Below are 17,377 nucleotides of genomic sequence, written 5' to 3'. Positions count from 1 at the left end.
AGGTATTGGTTAAGTTGATGGATCATGGAATCTAAGTGGGACTAAGGAAAGAAATGAGAGCCCAATGAGGTGAGGACTGTGATAATATAGAAACATGAATAAGTTATAAGTCCTATGGGGTCCCTTTTCATATTCTTTGCTTATTCATTACATTATTTGTCTTTTTCTTAGTGATTGATAGGATTTCTTATGTACTCTGAATACTATCTTTTGTTAGTTGTAAGGTTTGTATTTTTGTTCTGTGGCTTTTATTTTTCATCTTTTTAATGATGTGTTTTGATGCACAGGTGTTTTCAATGTTACCAAATTTGTATTTTATGATTTATGATTTTTTCCCCAAAGACCAGATTACAAGCTTCAAGATTTATTTTTTTAAATAATAACATCTCTTATTTGTATAGAATTATGAATTATAAACTATTGTTTTGCTTAATCCTTTTAATTACCATGTGAGACAGACAGGCTAGAGGATATTAGCTCCCATCTTACAGACAAAGGGTGGAAACACTGTACCCATATTTAGTATAAGAGAGAGCTGGGATGTAAGCCCTGGGCTTCCATACTCACAACTGCTTTTTTCCCATGACTTTGTGGTACCTCATTTTAAAGTAATCTGATTTCACAATGTTTCATTACAGTGTAAGAGTAACATCTATATCATATCTTCCTGGCAGGTTACCTCTGGAGCTAACCAACCTAATTAATTACCTCATAGGCTGAAACATTTTAAGGCACTGTTATACCTCTCACTCAATTTCTCAGCCATGTATGAGGGCCCCATGAACCAAAATTGCAGCAAAACTGACCTCAAAGGAGCAGGGAATACAAGGTCAAGTATGTTTTCAAGTGTAACCTAGGCCTGGCACATCCTCGCCAATTGCTCAGATGGCAAGTGGAGGCAACCAAGTGAAGGGAGTAGTGCGAAGGCCCATTTAGGGGTGGACACTGATGAAAAACACTACAGTGTCAGACCCACTGTTTTCAGGATTAAAATCCCAAGAAGCCCAGTTGCTGGTCTACTATCTACTACTATATTATTACCAGCAGGAGACTAGAGTCTCCTGGACTAGACTACTGGAGACTAGAATATACAAGGAAATGCTAATTAACCTGCCTGCCTGGGGCCCAAAAAATCAAACAGCACTAATTTTATCCACACCAAACTGAGAAAATGGTTCATTCCTTTTTTATCTGGATTTTAAGGAGAGTGCTGATCATCAGAGAAACCAGGAAATTCTTTCCTGAAGCCCAAGAGAAGATATGATGGGCATTTCCCAGAGTTATAGATGGCGCAGGGGCAACACAGTCTGCCACAGTGAAGGGAAAAAAGCTATCTTGGTGAGCTTTGGTCCTCCACAGGACATGGAACCAGAGATGAGCAAGATCAGGGCCTGGATGACCAATCCTGATAAGAGCAGGACTTCCTCACATAAGGTGCATAGGTCCCTGAGGAGAAGGGTCTAAACATCCTAAAACTGCAAGCAAAATTTTGAGTACATACATGTTTTTCTGGTGAAAGGGTCCTTCATTCTCAAATTCTGAGCTTTTAGAAAAAAGGACTAAGCTAGTTGCAGACTATGATACAAAAGCCAGCAGATATACCTAAAGTCAGCCAAGTCTGAGCGCTCTCAAAGTCATCAGTGAAAAGTTGGAACATAGACTCACAAGAGACAACCCACCACCTGTTTTTGTGCCCGTCTTCCTAATTGTATTTCAAGTCTTTTCAGAACAAGGCCCTAGGAACTCTCAGATTCAATTATGTCCTTGGGCTTGGTCCACTGCTACAGGAGTCTTAGGGGGACTCGTGCAAATGTGACAAAGCAGGACTCCTTTCATGACACGTGATTATTTCAGAGGAGGCAGCAGCCAATGTAGAAAACACTGGAATGTTTCCTTGGAGCTGGACTGTGATGAGAGGTGCCTGCCATGTACATAACTTGCTGTATTTTCATTGACTCTTCTCTTCCAGTTTTTGAAGATAAAGCAGGAGATACTCTTCCCTCAAGATACAATTCCAATTGTTATTTTTGATAACAGTTCAAAAAAACAGAAACACATGCTTCCAATGCACCATGCATTCAGGTATTCTGGGTCTAGTTCAGCTGGTGGTTGAGCTGATTGCTGCATTCACTCTGACAGCCAGGCGAGCCCATCTCATGGAAGAACCTCACTCTATTCTTGATAGCGTGATGGGCCACCAAGAGCTGGAAAGGGTGCAGGAACCATGAGATCTGGAAATACTTCCTTGGGAAGGCAACATCATGAATGAGGTCTTCTAAGCAAATGACAGCAAACTTCCTCAGGTGCTCCTCACTGTGTTGTCTGTTGGAGAGATGGTCTTATTCTTGACCTTGGCTTGTCCGTGTTTCAAGATGAGTTCCCAGATGGGCTTCAGATTTAGAAATCCCCAGGTCATATAAGATTCCAATATGTACAGCAGTTTTAGGCTCTGGGGGTGGCTTTTACAAAGACACTACTAAAAATTTTCTTTAGGTGAACCATTTTCTTCTTGCAGTGGTTCTCTGCACCAGTAAACTCATGCTATTAATTTTTAGGATGTGTACAACAAAGGCCAAGGAATGTTTATCTGGCAATTCCAAGGCATGAGATTTCACTTCTAGTCATCTGAGAGGCACCTTGTTGTGTTTCTGCCACCGGAAATCATGTAGGAACGATTCCAGTTGCTTACACCTGAGGCCATTTCTCCCTTTTCTTTTTTTTTTTTTTTTTGCTAAAAGTGCATTCTTTGCCTGAGTGGCTCTGAGGACAATAATGCACTAAATAATATTTGCTTGTGTATCTTTTCAAACTTTCCAGTTGATCCTTATTTTCTTTATTCCTTTAAAGGAGTGATGGATACTTCAGAAATTTATCGATGCTCTCAAGTTAACAGGTATAAATATTCCTAAAAAAGAGGCAGAGAAGATTCTTGAAAGGTCAGCTCTCATATATGTATGTATATATTAAACTTAATTTTTATTATTATTAATTTTATTAGCTCTAAACCCTTTTTAATGATAAAAGTGATAACTATGGAAATGTTAGAAAAATATGAATAATGGCTTTTCATTATTGAACATCTGTCTGCTAGCACTCTTCTAAGAACATTACATACATTATCTCATTTAATCCTCACAAGACTTTAGAGACCAAGTCTATTATTTTTCACAGAAGAGGAAATTGTTGAGAAGTGAGGTTAAGTAACTTCCCCAATGTCACCATAATCCAATCACCCAAATGTTAACCTGGTATCATTTTAGTGTATAGATTTATTGCTTTTTATAAGATTATGTCATTTTATATTTATCAAGTTTGATCCTTTTTGCTGGGCATGTACTAGCTAACGAGGATGCAGTGGTAGCCTGGCCCTTGTGCCTGTCCTTACAGAGCTGACAGTCCACTGTGTGTGTGTGTGTGTGTGTGTGTGTGTGTACACGCACATGTGCTAACAGTGAACAGACAGTTGCAATGTGGCAAGGATTATGACAGGAACATATAGAAGAACAACAAAGAAAAGTATCTTATCAGGAGAGTGCTGAATTTTATTAAACTGTATAATGTGTCATTTGACCTATTTATATAATGAATTATAGTAATAGATTTTGTCATGTTAAACATTCCTGAAATAAGGCTAACTTATTATGAACTATTTTATACAGAACAATAAAGAGAATAATATAACCAAAAACCATACCTACCACTGTGTTTGTCATATTTAACATTTTACATATTTGATTCAGATTTTTAAAAACAAAATTACAGGCAGCAAACATTTTCAATGTATTATTCTCTAAACCCATTTCCTCCATTCCTGCCAGAAGTAACTACTATTCTGAACTTATTATTCTCATATAGACTTTTATATTTGCATACATTTTACTATACATATACTGTTAAAATATAGGATATTGTTTCTTATGTCTTAAGCCTTTAAATGGTGACATACAGGATTTTTTTATGACTATTTTCTAATCCTTCAATTTTTGGAGATTTATTTATGTCAATGCATATAGCTCTAGTTCAATTATTTTAACCACTGTATGGTTCCATTTAATAAATATAACTCAGTTTACTTATGAATTCTGATGGTGGTTATTTAGGTTAAAAATTTCTTTTGTTGCTAATATAATATAAAGCTGCAATGGATATTCTTGTGTGCATCTCCTTGTGTATTACTTGCGGTGGAATTGTTTGGTCATAGGCTTTACAGATATTTAACTTTAATTAAATATTCCAAATTGCTCTCCAAAGTAGTTGTACCACCTTAGATTCCTACCAGAAATGTATTTCCATTCCAACACTTGATACCGTAGTATTCTAATATTTTAATATTTTCCAAACCTATGGGTCAGAAATATTATCTCATTATTTTTAATGTAACTAAATGTAATTAATTATATTCCTTATTACTAGTAAAACTATCTCTTCATATATTTGCTGGTCATTTGGATTTTTTTTGTGAATTACCTGTTTATTCCTTTTGTCAATTTTTCAGCGAGATTGGTTGTCTTTTTCTTAATGGCTTGTAGGTGTTCTTTCTAAATTCTGGATATTAATCCTATGTTGGCATTATGCAATATGAATATCTTTTCCCAGCTTGTTGCTTATTTAAAACAAATTTTTGGTGTTTTTTTGTTGTGCAGACATTTTAAATTTTAATGCAGTTATATTTGTCTCTTTTTCTTTTATGGTTGTGCTTTTGACATATTGAGAAATTCTTCCTTACCCTGGGGCATGAAGATATTCATCAATATCTTATTTAAATATTTAGATATTTCATATTTAGTTCTTTAATTCACCTGTAATTGATGTTTGTGTATGGTGTGAAATAGGGATTCAATTTCTTTTTTTTTCTGTATAGTCAATTGTCCTATCACCATTTATTGGTTAGTCCCATCCTTTTCCTACAGATTTGAAATGCTTACCTCTAGTCATATATTAAATTTCCATCTGTGTATGGGTGTGTTTCTGGTTTCCTTTTCCTGTTATATTAGTTGTTGTCTACTGTGTATCAATACCGCATGTCTTAATTACTATCACTGTATAATACATCTCGACATCTGGACTTACATTCATCTCCAATAGTGTCAATGCTATTTTTGACCCTTTCCTCTTCTATATGAATTTTAGAATCAGATTGTTTTGTTATATACATGTGCATACACATGCACATATATATATATATCATTTTTGGAATTTTGATTGCAATTTATTGAATTAATAGCTTAATATTGGGGAGAATTGATGTATTTATGATGTTTCATCCTCTATTTCTTGAACATTTTATGTGTCTTCATTTTTTAGATCCTTCCTTTTTTCAGCAGAAAAGAGCAGCAATAACATTATTGAAAAATATCCATTGGATCTGGCGTTTGGGAGATTTCCGGGGATGTCAGTGAAAGGAGTTTGAGTAGTGTGGTAAAGGGTTAAGTCAGGTTGCATAAGGCTGTTGAGTGGGTGAGGGTGAGGATGTGGGGACTGTGGTTTAAGAGAAATGGTTAATGTGGGGATGTGGTTTAAGAGAAATTTAAATGAGAAGGAGAGGACAAGTCTTTTTAAATTTTATTTTTATTATCTTTTGGTGGATAGGAGAGATCTGAGAAGTAGTCACCAGAGAAGGACATGTTGGATCTGTTATAGAGACAGGAGATGACTGATTGGGAGAAAAGGGTTCCAACAACTCAAGACAGGGAGTCCTTGAATAAGACTCAATATTTCAACCTCTGAGTGTAGAGCACAAGAGGTGGTGATGAAAAGTGGATTTATTTATTTACTAACAAATATTTATTGAGTGTCTGTGATATGCCTGTCATTCATCTAGGTGCTAAGGATGCAGTAGTGAAGGAAATAGGCCAAAATCCTTGCTCTCATAGAGCTCACCATAAACAAGAGGAGAAAAACAATAAACTAGATAAATAATTAAGCTATGTTAGATAATGAAAAGTGCTAAGGGGAAATGAAGCAGAGGAGGGAGACTCGTGTGTGTGTGTGTGTGTGTGTGTGTGTGTGTGTGTGTGTGTTGGGGAAATGCAATTTAACTGTGGTGAGTAGGGAATTCTTGAAAGTGACATTTGAGTAGAGATAAGGAGGAAGTAAGAGAGGGAGCTATGATGATCTTTGGGGGAAGAGCTTTCCAGGCAAAGGAAATAGCAACAGCAAAGGGTGAAGTAGGTAGTGTCTCTGACAGGGTTAGGGCATTGAGAGGAGGCCAGTGTGTGCAGAATAGAGTGAATGAGGGAGAGCGTGGTAGGAGATGAAATCTAGAGGTAATAGGAGGCCAGATCACATAAGGCTTCCAGGAAATTGTAAGAACTTTGGTTTTTACTCAGTTAAGTCATTGGGTGGTTTTAAACAGAGGTGTGACATGATCTAACTTAAGTTTTAACCATCTCATTCTGGCTGGTGTACTGCGAATAGTTTATAACGGCAAGGGTGAAAACAGAGAGACCAATTAAGACAGTGCTGCAATAATAACAGACAAGATTTTAGGATGGCTTGCACCAGGATGGATGAGGGTGAGAAGTGAGTAGATGCCAGGTAGATTTTGAAATACTGACAAGATTTACTTCTGGATCATGTGTAGGGTGTTAAAGAAAGTGAATAGTTAAGGATACTGTCAAAGTTCTTGGTCTGAGCGTCTAGGAGGCTGTAGCTGCCTCATGTATTGAAATGAGTAAGACTGTGAGAGGAGCAGGTTTAAGAGTAAGACTGTGAGAGGAGCAGGTTTAAAATGGAGTAGATCTCAGAGTACAGTTTTGTTCTCAAGTTTCAGATGCTAATGAGACATCCAAGTAGAGATATCAAGTAGGTATCTTGAAATGAGTCTGGAGTTCAGATTTGGGAGTTACAGGCTTATAGATGATGTTTGAAGCCATAAGAATGGCTGAGAAGACCAGGGAGGGAGTACAGTACGCTGGGTCCTGGTATGCTCTAATGTTATGTGGCAGGGGAAATGAGGGGAAACCAGGGAAGGAGAATAGGAGGAAAGAACTAGAGAGAAAGGAAGAAAACCAGGAGAATACTTTGTTCTGGAAGCCAAATAAAGAACACATTTCAGAGAGGAGACAGTTCTGTCTGTCAAATGCTGATAGACTAAGATGAGGACAGAGAATGGACCACTGGATTTAGTGCCATGGAGGCCACTGGTAGAGTAATGGTGGTGAGAGCCTGAGAGTGGGCTCAAGAGAGAATGACAAGGAGAAGGTGGACATGCAAGGGAGACAAGTCTTTAAGGGGTGTTGCTGCAAAGGCAAAGAGAGATAAAGGCCACAGTGGGGAAAGCGGGGTCAAGAGAGGCAATGGCTCACACCTGTAATCCCAGCAGTTTGGGAGACTGAGGCGGGCAGATCACAAGGTCAGGAGATCGAGACCATCGTGGCTAACATGGTGAAACCCCGTCTCTACTAAAAATAAAAAAATTAGCTGGGTGTGGTGGCGGGCGCCTGTAGTCCCAGCTACTCGGGAGGCTGAGGCAGAAGAATGGCATGAACCTGGGAGGCGGAGGTTGCAGTGAGCTGAGATCACGCCACTGCACTCCAGCCTGGGAAACAGAGCGAGATTCTGTCTCAAAAAAAAAAAAAAAATAAAATAAAATAAAATAAAGAATTAACAGACCCTCTTAATTTGTTTTAAATATTTTTAAGGTTTAAAAAGTGTTTAAAGTTTGTAATTCCTAGTAGAAAGCATTATCTGCATGAATACCCTAATGGCAAACCGCTGTAAAATGCTTTAGTTGCATTCAGGGTAGACAGGTAGAGATTATCTTCAAAGCACCCCAGCTGTCTTGATAAGGTCAGAGGTACACTGGTTTGCATAATTGCAACATCCATTAGGTGATCTAGGTTGCTTTTCCTTTATCAAGGGCTTTATTTATCAGAAGGGCATTACGCTTGACCTCCAAATTTGGCTGACAATTTACTGATGAGATTCTTAACCTTTGGGTTGCTCTGGCATTTTGACATATTTGCTGGGTTCTGGGCCACATCCTGGAAGGCCACCATAACTTCTGAACCCTGCATGGCTGTGAGAACCTCTGGTCACTAAGAATTTTGAGTCCATGCATTCCTGCCATTCCAGACATGTCCCCTCCCATTCCAGGCATTTCTCTGAGAAAATTACCAGGCATTCTCCCAGAAAGGCCACTTGGAAAAGAGCCATACTGAGCTCTGGATCATCTTCTGGCTTCTTCCTCCCTCTGGGATCTCTCATGCTTTTCTCGAGAGCCTTCTTAACCCTTTCTATTCTTTCGTTGATCTCTTGCTCTTCACGTTTTCACTCATACTTTCTACAATGTTCTATAATTTTCTAGGCCCTAGATTTGAACTTCTTTCAGCATTTTACTAGCATCTTCATCATAATCCAATTTCCAAGCAAGGGCAAGAGCATGGGCTGCTTCTTCCCAAAGACCCAGAAGTCTGTGTGTGTTTTCTCACCACTTGTAAGTCTGAGCTGAATCAGGATTTATCTCAATGGCTCTGTCACTGTCTTGACTGGCAGCATTGGGCTTCTGTAATTTGATGAAGACACTGGCTCTCTTGGCACACAGAATGGCCAAGTGAGGATTCAGCTTAATGGCATCTGTGAATAAGCCACAGTTCACCATCATTTACGGTTTCAGTGGCAACCACTTTCTTACCATTTGCTGATCCATCATCTCCTCCGTTTTCTCTGCATTTTCATCTCCCATTTCTTGAGGGGCATCAGTGTCTTGTTCAATCACACCTTCATTATCAATTTCTAGATCAGTTTTCTCATTTGATGGTTCATCTATCTTTATGTTTTCTTTCTGCCTTCCTGCTATCTGTTTTTCCTTCCTTGATATTTTCTTCTGATTTAGCTTTCTGAATAGCAGGTGGTAGTTTACCCCCCATGCTCTTCATCCATTCCTTCAGGAAGTGCATTTCTTTGGTGTGCAGAACACTCAGATCCTGCTTACACATTTTCAGGAAGGCCCCAGGCTTGCTCATTTGGTGGGGATCCATGGTCAAGAGGTCAAGAGGTGGAGGGCGAAGCTTAGGGGGCTGTGGCCCAATTGCAGGCACAGGAGCTGGCTCAGCATGACTATGCAGAAGGGCTTTCTTCAAATTCTTAACTGCATACAGGAATTTGAGAAATTCTTCACTGAGAATTCCTAAAATTCTTTTTTTTCGTTTTTAAAAATTTTTATTTTACTTTAAGTTCTGGGATACATGTGCAGAACTTGCAGGTTTGTAACAGAGGCATACATGTGCCATGGTGATTTGCTGCACCTATCAACCTGTCATCTAGGTTTTAAGCCCTGCATGCATTAGGTGTTTGTTCTAATGTTCTCCCTCCCCTTCTCCCGCACCCCCTGACAGGCCCCAGTGTGTGATGTTCCCCTCCCTGTGTCCACGTGTTCTCATTGTTCAACTCCCACTTATGAGTGAGAACATGCGGTCTTTGGTTTTCTCTTCCTATATTAGTTTGCTGAGAATGATGGTTTCAAGCTTCTTCCATGTCTCTGCAAAGGACATGGACTCATTCTTTTTTATGGCTGCATAGTAGAGAATTCCTAAAATTTTAAAAATTGACTTGAGCCAGGGACAGTGGTACTTGCCTGTAGATCCAGCTACTAGGAGGTTGAGGCAGAAGCATAGCTTGAACTTGGAAGTTCAAGACTAGCCTGGGCAACATAGTAAGACCCTGTCTCAAAAAAAGTTGGCTTCAAAACTATTATTTCATATTAATGGGAATTATATTTCCAAGAATATATGGATGTCTTGCTATTTTGGATACTGGATATTTTATAGCCATAGAAAATGTATATTGTCTTGTAAGATCCATAACCAAAAAGGGTAATTGTCAACCATTCTTTGCTAGAGAACATGCAAGAAGTTATAAAATGAGGTTATAAGACAGAAAGAAGGAGAAATGTTTAAGAAGAAATACTAGAAAATTGGGATGCAGTACTACTGACTTACAAGTTCTGTAGTTGTGTAATTTATAAGGCCATTGTACACATAAACTTATTTAATAGTCTAATAGCTCTGTGTTATAGGAATTATTCTCACATAAACTGAAGTTCAGAGATGTTAAGTGGACTCTATATCACAAAAGTAACAACAGGAAGAACGCAACTACAATCCGACTTTTCTGGCTTTAAGAATATGTCATTTTGATAATGTTTTTTGAAATATATGAATCATAATTTATATTTGAGCATATTCTTCTTAAATAATATACAGCACGGATATTGATGGGTCCATGACAGTGGATTGGGTTGAATGGAGGAAAAATTTTTTCTTAAACCTGCAAAAAAAAGATGTTGAAGAAGTTGCCCATTACTGGAAACACGTTACTGAAAGTGGTCTTTTTCTTACTATTGGTATATTTTATGCTATGCGTCAAGGGCATAAAAATGTAATGCATTATAAACTATTAGATTTGCTAGTGGATCTTGCTGATTAAACAAGTGATGCTATAGAATGTTGCTTCATTAGAAATTTGTACAATGCCAAGAAGAATTGGCATATAATATCTACTTCAACCAAAGTCTCAATTTGCAAAAGGCATCCATTTATTGAGAACAACTACACTCTTAAGAGTCGATTACTCCTACTCAGCACCATCATTCTGTAGGATAGTTGCCTATTTACTTGCCTGAAAGTAGGAATTGTGAGTTGCAGATTTAGATAATGCTTTCCCAATATTTACTGGATGAATGTATAAACCATAACTGAAATTCTCTTGAAAGAGTGGCAAGGCTCATAGTCATATATATATCATAGTCTGCATAGCATTTGCCTCCAAGTACTCTTAGAGATCTATGCTTCAAAATATCTTAAAATTTGAGGCTGGGTGCGGTGGCTTATGCCTGTATCCCAGCACTTTGGGAGGCCGAGGAGGGCGGATCACCTGAGGTCAGGAGTTCAAGACCAGCCTGACTAACATGGTGAAACGCCGCCTCTACTAAAAATACCAAAATTAGCCTGCCTTGGTGGCGCATGCCTGTAATCCCAGCTACTTGCGAGGCTGAGGCAGAAGAATTGCTTCAATCCGGGAGGCAGAGGTTGCACTGAGCCCAGATCACACACCATTGCACTCCAGCCTGGGCAACAAGAGTGAAACTCTCTCTCTCTCAAAAAAAAAAAAAAAAAAAAAAAAGTCTTAAAATTGAAAACGTTTTAAAAAATTTCCTAAAAATTTTGCTTGGTGATTCCCAGTTATGATCTACACTGTTCTTCTGTGTACCACAATATGCTTCTACAACTCTGAGGTAGGGATTATTGTTCCTATGTTATAGATGAGGAAACCAAGGCAGAGAGAGGTTAAATAACTGGCCTCTTCTTTTTTTATTTTTTTGAGACAGAGTCTCTCATTCTGTTGCCCAGGTTGGAGTGCGGTGGCGTGATCTTGGCTCACTGCAACCTCCCAGGTTCAAGCAATTCTCCTGCCTCAGCCTCCTGAGTAGCTGGGATTACAGGCATGTGCCACCATGCCTAGCTAAATTTTTTGTATTTTTAGTACAGACAGGGTTTCACCATGTTTGGCTGGTTTCGAACTCCTGACCTCAAGTGATCTGCTTGCCTCAGCCCCCCAAAATGCTGAGATTACAGGTATGAGCCACTGCACCTGAGTAACTGGCCTCTAAAGGTAAGGAGGGTAGTGTAACATTTAAGATCATGAACTCTAGAATCATACTTCCAGGGTGTGCTTCTTAGTGCCCCTATTTAGTAGCCCTGTGACCTTGGAGACATCGTTTAACCTTTCTAAGCCTCATTTTTTTCAACTATAGAGGGATATTACCTACTCCATAGGGCTGATGAGAGGATTCATGAGACAGTCGTACTAAAATACTGAATACAGTGCCTTGTGAACAGGAACTACACCTTAGTTTGTTTTGAGGATTAAAGTAGTTAATATATGTAAAGCACTTGCGACAGCATCTGACACACGTTAAACACCATACGTATTAGCTGTTATTATCAATTATTGGTAGGAAATAAAGAACCTTGAGCTGAAACTTGTATTTCAAATCTGTGACATCTATTGTTTCTTTATGAAGTCTATCTTTTTTCTTTCATTTTTCTTTAACATTGAGACTTTCTTTTAATAGTCTATGTGTTGAAGAAAAAGTTGCAATAAATACCAACCTGCTGCCCTCCTATTTTCTATAACTCCCCAAATCCCAAGATGCCCAAATCAAATATATGAAAGCTAAGCCTAACCTGACTCCTTTTAACTGCCTTCTGAGGAAACTGAACTAAGTGAAAAGGAGTTTTGCATGAAGCTCTACAGCTTTTCCTATATCTCTAAGAGATTGCTCTGAGAAAGAGAGATGATCAGTAGAATCACATTAATATTGACAGGTAGAAAAATAAAAGACATTCCACTATAGCCTTAGATTGAATAGTGTGTCTTCTTAATTCTTACCATGTTACTTATGACACTCTTCAGTTACCAACATTATTTTAATTTAAAACATATATAATCATTAAGAGAATATGTTATCTTTTTGGTGCTTTTTCCTCTGTACTCTTAAAGATGATTAAAGGAAATTCAAGTCAGTGAAAAACTATATTTGTTATATGCCTACCATAGGATAAACTTTCTGTTTGATAATGAAGATAAAAGGAAGATAAATACATGGGAAATAGCTATTTTGAAGACTAAATGACATATTGTCTGTGACAACCTAGTAAAGAAATATAAATTAAATTCAATAAACTGTCTTTTTGAGTATAGTGCTAACAAAGGGTGCTTCATTTGTTCCAGGGGCACATTCACATTTTGGCTTATAGTAATTTCATGAGAAACAAATAGGTTTAGCAGTATAGCTGTACAGCAAAGAAGTAGAAAACAGCCCGTTTTCGGGGTGGAATACGGAGTGCAGGCTCTGGATTCAGGCTGCTTTGGTTCAAATCCCGGCTCTGCCACTTACTGGGTGAATTGGGATAAATTATTTAATCTCTTTGGGCCTCAGTTTTCTTAACTCTAAAACTGGGATGATAGTACCTCTCAGGGTTATTATGAAAATTAAAGATGACACATATAGCTTTAATATAGTGCTGACTTTGCTCTGCAAATGTTAGTTTTTATTTATGTAACAGATACCTATTTTTCAGTCACATTATTGCTAATGTCTATGCATAGCATAGGCACTGGAGGCCAAAATGCCACCAAACAGTCTGTGTTTTACAACTGATAATACCAGTAACTAACATTCACTGAATCTCTTTTAGTGCGAAGCACTGTGATAAGTACTTTATGTACTTTTAAGTCATTTAATCTTAAGAACCCAACAAAGTAGGTATTACTATTGGCTTCAGTTTGCATTTGAGGAAATGGAGACCCAGAGAGATTGTTCCATTAGGAATTCAGGAGGTCAGAATTTGAATTCTATCTGGCTCCTGAGCCCAAGTCCTTGATCATGATAAATGTTATCAACCTTCTGGGCCCTCAAAATATTCCTATTTTATGATATATGTGTAGCAGAGCTTACTATCTGCTTTGGGCACTACATGGAAAGACTTAGTTTTTTGTCACATCCACTGTAGGTAAAGATGTAAAAGGAAACTGCTTTAAATGTGTGTTGTATATTTTATATTTATTTCATTAAAAGTAAAGAGTCTGACTGAAGATATTAGGTTGGTGCAAAAGTAATTGTGGTTTCTGCCATTACTTTCTTACTTTTTTTTTTTTTTTTTGAGGTAGAGTCTTGCTTTGTAACCCAGGCTGGAGTACAGTGGTGTGATCTTGGCCCACTGCAACTTCTGCCTCCCAGGTTCAAGCAATTCTCCTTCCTCAGCCTCCGGAGTAGCTGGGATACAGGCGCATGCCACTGCACCCAGCTAATTTTTGTAGTTTTAGTAGAGATGGGGTTTCACCATGTTAGCTAGGTTGGTCTCAAACTCCTGACCTCAAGTGATCTGTCTGCCTTGGCCTCCAAAAGTGCTGAGAGGACAGGCATGAGCCACCATGCCTGGCCTGTTTTTATAATTTTTATTTTTATTTTAATTCTAGGGTACATGTGCAGGATATGCAAATTCGTTACATAGATAAATGTGTGTGATGGTGATTTGCTGTAACTATCAACCCATCACCTAGGTATTAAGCCCAGCAAGCATCAGCTATTTTTCCTAATGCTCTCCCTCCTCCCACCCACCCCCAACAGGCCCCAGTGTGTGTTGTTCCCTTCCCTGTGTCCGTGTGTTCTCATTGTTCAGCTCCCACTTATAAGTGAGAACATGCAGTGTTTGGTTTTCTGTTCCCGTGTTAGTTTGCTGAGGATAATGGCTTTTAGCTTCATCCATGTCCCTGCAAAGGACATGAACTCGTTCCTTTTTATGGCTGCATAGTATTCCATGGAGAATATGTATCATATTTTCTTTATTCAGTCAGTCATTGATGGGTATTTAGGTTGATTCCATGTCTTTGCTATTGTGACATGTGTTTGCTGTAGTGCTGCAATGAACATATGTGTTCATGTATCTTTGTAATATAAATATTTATATTCCTTCGGGTCTATACCAAGTAATGGAATTTGAGTCAAATGGTATTTCTGGTTCTAGATCGTTGAGGAATCACCACATTGTCTTCCACAATGGGTGAACTAATTTATAGTCCTACTAACAGTGTAAAAGTGTTCCTATTTCTCTGCAATCTCTCCAGCATCTGTTTTTTCTTGACTTTTTAATAATTGGCATTCTGACTGGTGTGAGTTGGTGTCTCATTGCGATTTTGATTTGCATTTCTCTAATGATCAGTGATGTCAAGCTCTTTTTTTTCTAAATATGTTTGTTGGCCACATGAATGTCTTCTTTTGAGAAGTATCTGTTCATGTCCTTTGCCCACTTTTTAATGGAGTCATTTGTTTTTTCTTGTCAATTTGTCTAAGTTCCTCGTAGATTCTGGATATTAGACCTTTATCAGATGGATAGATTGCAATAATTTTTTCCCATTCTGTAGGTTGTCTGTTCACTGTTATGATAGTTTCTTTTGCTGTACAGAAGTTCTTTAGTTTAATTAGATCCCACTTGTCAATTTTTGCTTTTGTTGGAATTGCTTTTGGTGATTTCATCATGCAATCTTTTCCTGTGCCTATGTCCTGAATGGTATTGCCTAGATTTTCTTCTAGGGTTTTTATAGTTTTGGGTTTTACATTTAAGTCTTTAAATCGATCTTGAGTTAATTTTTGTATAAGGAGTAAGGAAGGGGCCCAGTTTCAATTTTCTGTGTATGGCTAGCCAGTTCTCCCAGCACAATTTATTAAATAGGGAAGCTTTCACCATTGCTCGTTTTTGTCAGGTTTGTTGAAGATCAGATGATTGCAGATGTGTGGTCTTATTTCTGAGTTCTCTATTTTGTTCCATTGGTCTATGTGTCTGTTTTTGTACCAGTACCTTGCTGTTTTGGTTACTGTAGCCTTGTAGCATAGTTTGAAGTCTAGTGGCGTGATGATGCCTCCAGCTTTGTTCTTTTTGCTTAGGATTGTCTTGGCTATATGAGCTCTTTTTTTTGGTTCCATATGAATTTTAAAATAGTTTCTTTATTAATTTATAATTGACGGTACCTCAAGCTTATTCATGAGTTATTTTAAATTGTGCTAGTCAGTGAAGCCCAATGTTCTTGGAGAGGATATTAATTTACTGTGGATCTGAGATATTTAAAGCATTATTTAGATCTTATAAGGAGATAAAATTTTTATTTGAGATCATCTAATTATTATTAATTTTTTTAAAGCAAGGAATTGATATGGGAGATAAATGGACTTTTCATAATTTCATTGATGAAGGAAGAAAATCTAGCCTGTTGTGGAAATATCTATTGGCTGGAGGCATAGTTGGTACATATCCTCAGACATGCACAATGCCATTAGACCATCTGAAAATCCTGCTGCAGGTATGTTGCATAGTTCATGTGTATGATTTTGAGTGATATGTATTGGGGGAACCAGCCCCCAGTATTTCAACATAGGTTCTTTTCTATTTTCCCTAAGTGTCAGCCAGTCTGAGAAATAAAGAGAAAGAGTACAAAGAGAGAAATTTTACAGCTGGGCCTCTGGGGATGACATCACATATCAGCAGTTTCTGTGATGCCCACCTGAGACACAAAACCAGCAAGTATTTTTCTAATTTATTTTTATTTTTTAATTTTTTAATTTTTTAATTTTAATTTTTATTTTTTAATTTTATTATTATTATACTTTAAGTTTTAGGGTACATGTGCACAATGTGCAGGTTAGTTACATATGTATACATGTGCCAAGCTGGTGTGTGCTGCACCCATTAACCTGTCATTTAGCATTAAGTATATCTCCTAATGCTATCCCTCCCCTCTCCCCCAACCCCACAACAGTCCCGAGTGTGATGTTCCCCTTCCTGTGTCCATGTGTTCTCATTGTTCAATTCTCACCTGTGAGTGAGAATATGCGGTGTTTGGTTTTTTGTCCTTGTGATAGTTTACTGAGAATGATGATTTCCAATTTCATCCATGTCCCTACAAAGGACATGAACTCATCATTTTTTATGGCTGCATAGTATTCCATGGTGTATATGTGCCACATTTTCTTAATCCAGTCTATCATTGTTGGACATTTGGGTTGGTTCCAGGTCTTTGCTATTGTGAATAGTGCCGCAATAAACATACATGTGCATGTGTCTTTATAGCAGCATGATTTATAGTCCTTTGGGTATATACCCACTAATGGGATGGCTGGGTCAAATGATATTTCTAGTTCTAGATCCCTGAGGAATCGCCACACTGACTTCCACAATGGTTGAACTAGTTTACAGTCCCACCAACAGTGTAAAAGTGTTCCTATTTCTCCACATCCTCTCCAGCACCTGTTGTTTCCTGACTTTTTAATGATTGCCATTCCAACTGGTGTGAGATGGTATCTCATTGTGGTTTTGATTTGCATTTCTCTGATGGCCAGTGATGGTGAGCATTTTTTCATGTGTTTTTTGGCTGCATAAATGTCTTCTTTTGAGAAGTGTCTGTTCATGTCCTTTGCCCACTTTTTGATGGGGTTGTTTGTTTTTTTCTTGTAAATTTGTTGGTGTTCATTGTAGATTCTGGATATTAGCCCTTTGTCAGATGAGTAGGTTGCGAAAATTTTCTCCCATTTTGGAGGTTGCCTGTTCACTCTGATGGTAGTTTCTTTTGCTGTGCAGAAGCTCTTTAGTTTAATTAGATCCCATTTGTCAATTTTGGCTTTTGTTGCCATTGCTTTTGGTGTTTTAGACATGAAGTCCTTGCCCATGCCTATGTCCTGAATGGTATTGCCTAGGTTTTCTTCTAGGGTTTTTATGGTTTTAGGTCTAATGTTTAAGTCTTTAATCCATCTTGAATTAATTTTTGTATAAGGCGTAAGGAAGGGATCCAGTTTCAGCTTTCTACATATGGCTAGCCAGTT

At 38.0% G+C, this 17,377-nt stretch overlaps 2 pseudogenes, besides 2 other annotated features; both read right to left on the bottom strand.

Annotated features, from left to right (window-relative positions):
• Positions 1,941-2,766, bottom strand: RPL7L1P21 (RPL7L1 pseudogene 21; annotated as a pseudogene).
• Positions 6,611-6,750: a silencer, noted in NCBI's record as "silent region_1134". NCBI's record gives its function as "represses an Ori minimal core promoter by ATAC-STARR-seq in GM12878 lymphoblastoid cells {active_cell/tissue: GM12878}" and the evidence as "EXISTENCE:reporter gene assay evidence [ECO:0000049][PMID:35858748]".
• On the bottom strand, positions 7,689-9,073 carry ST13P21 (ST13, Hsp70 interacting protein pseudogene 21; annotated as a pseudogene).
• Positions 7,750-8,283: an enhancer, noted in NCBI's record as "OCT4-NANOG hESC enhancer chr1:109045678-109046211 (GRCh37/hg19 assembly coordinates)". NCBI's record gives its function as "activates a minimal SCP1, AML or CMV promoter by ChIP-STARR-seq in primed H9 embryonic stem cells {active_cell/tissue: H9 hESC(primed)}" and the evidence as "EXISTENCE:reporter gene assay evidence [ECO:0000049][PMID:30033119]".

This window comes from Homo sapiens, chromosome 1, assembly GCF_000001405.40.
Source record: "Homo sapiens chromosome 1, GRCh38.p14 Primary Assembly".
Lineage (NCBI taxonomy): Eukaryota > Metazoa > Chordata > Mammalia > Primates > Hominidae > Homo > Homo sapiens.
Note: the sequence above shows the minus strand (reverse complement) of the source record. Positions and strands in the feature narration are given on the sequence as shown.